Below are 1,355 nucleotides of genomic sequence, written 5' to 3'. Positions count from 1 at the left end.
GTATGCAATATTATTCTAATTTTTTTTTTTTTTTTAGATGGAGTCTCACTCTGTCACCCAGGCTGGAGTGCAGTGGCGCGACCTCGGCTCACTGCAACCTCCACCTCCCGGGTTCAATCAATTCTCTGCCTCAGTCTCACGAATGGCTGGAATTACAGGCGCCTGCCACCATGCCCGGCTAATTTTTGTGTTTTTAGTAGAGACGGGGTTTCACCATCTTGGCCAGGCTGGTCTTGAACTCCTGACCTCGTGATCCACCCGCCTTAGCCCCTCCAAAAATACTGAGATTACAGGCGTGAGCCACCACGCCCGACCTATTGTAATGTTTTAAAACTATACTGTGTACACATGTGGAATATATAGCCACAAAAACAAAGAAAGATGCATGTATGTGGACATATATTAATATATACAATTAAGTGAAAAGCAAGATGTAAATCAGTACATACAAAACGTAAAATATAATATAGTGTCTTCACATATATTTTATATATGTAAGATTTTTCTAGGAGAATACACAAAAAATAGTTTTTGGGTTAATAGCTTTAGGAAAAGAGGATGGGGTTTTGTTTTTAATTTTGATTTTTGTCATTTGCATTTAAAATATGTGTAATTTACTATTTTTTAAAAAAATTAAAAGAACTATCTGAATGGTAGCAGTGAGAGTAATTTTTGTTATCTTTCCTACACATTGCTAAATTTAAAAGAAAACATACATATTCTAAAAATAGAGAAGGTAAATATAAACTGACTTGCTAACTTCTAATTTAGTCACTAAAATATTACATATATATATATATACACACGTATATGTATATATGTATATATATATGACAGCATAATAATTATACATTTATGTTGTATGTTATAAATTTATATAATTTTTTTGTTGAGACAGAATCTCACTCTGTCGCCCAGGCTGGAGTGCAGGAGGGCTATTTTTACTCACTGCAACCTCCGCCTCCCGGGTTCAAGTGGTTCTCGTGCCTCAACTCCTAAGCAGCTGGGACTATGGCTGCGTGCCACCACACTCAGCTGACTTTTTGTGTTTTTAGCAGAGACAGGTTTCACCAGGTTGGCCAAGGTGGTCTTGAACTCGTGGTCTCAATTGAGCCCCTCACCTTGGCCTCCCAAAGTGCTGGGATTACAGGTGTGAGCCCTTGCTATACATTTATATAAATTTTACTTGTCAAAAATTTTTCTTAAAAAAAGAGATAATGTGTGTAAAATAGTTGTTGTCACAGTGCCTGGACCATGGTAAATCATAATAGGAGATTCTCAATCCATCAATAAAGTGTATATATTTAATAGTTTTGTTAATATATATTTATTCAGCTAATATTAATGTGTACTAG

Source organism: Homo sapiens, chromosome 7 (genome assembly GCF_000001405.40).
Source record: "Homo sapiens chromosome 7, GRCh38.p14 Primary Assembly".
Taxonomy (NCBI): Eukaryota; Metazoa; Chordata; class Mammalia; order Primates; family Hominidae; genus Homo; species Homo sapiens.
The sequence above is the reverse complement of the archived record's forward strand: the minus strand, read 5'-3'. Positions refer to the sequence as shown.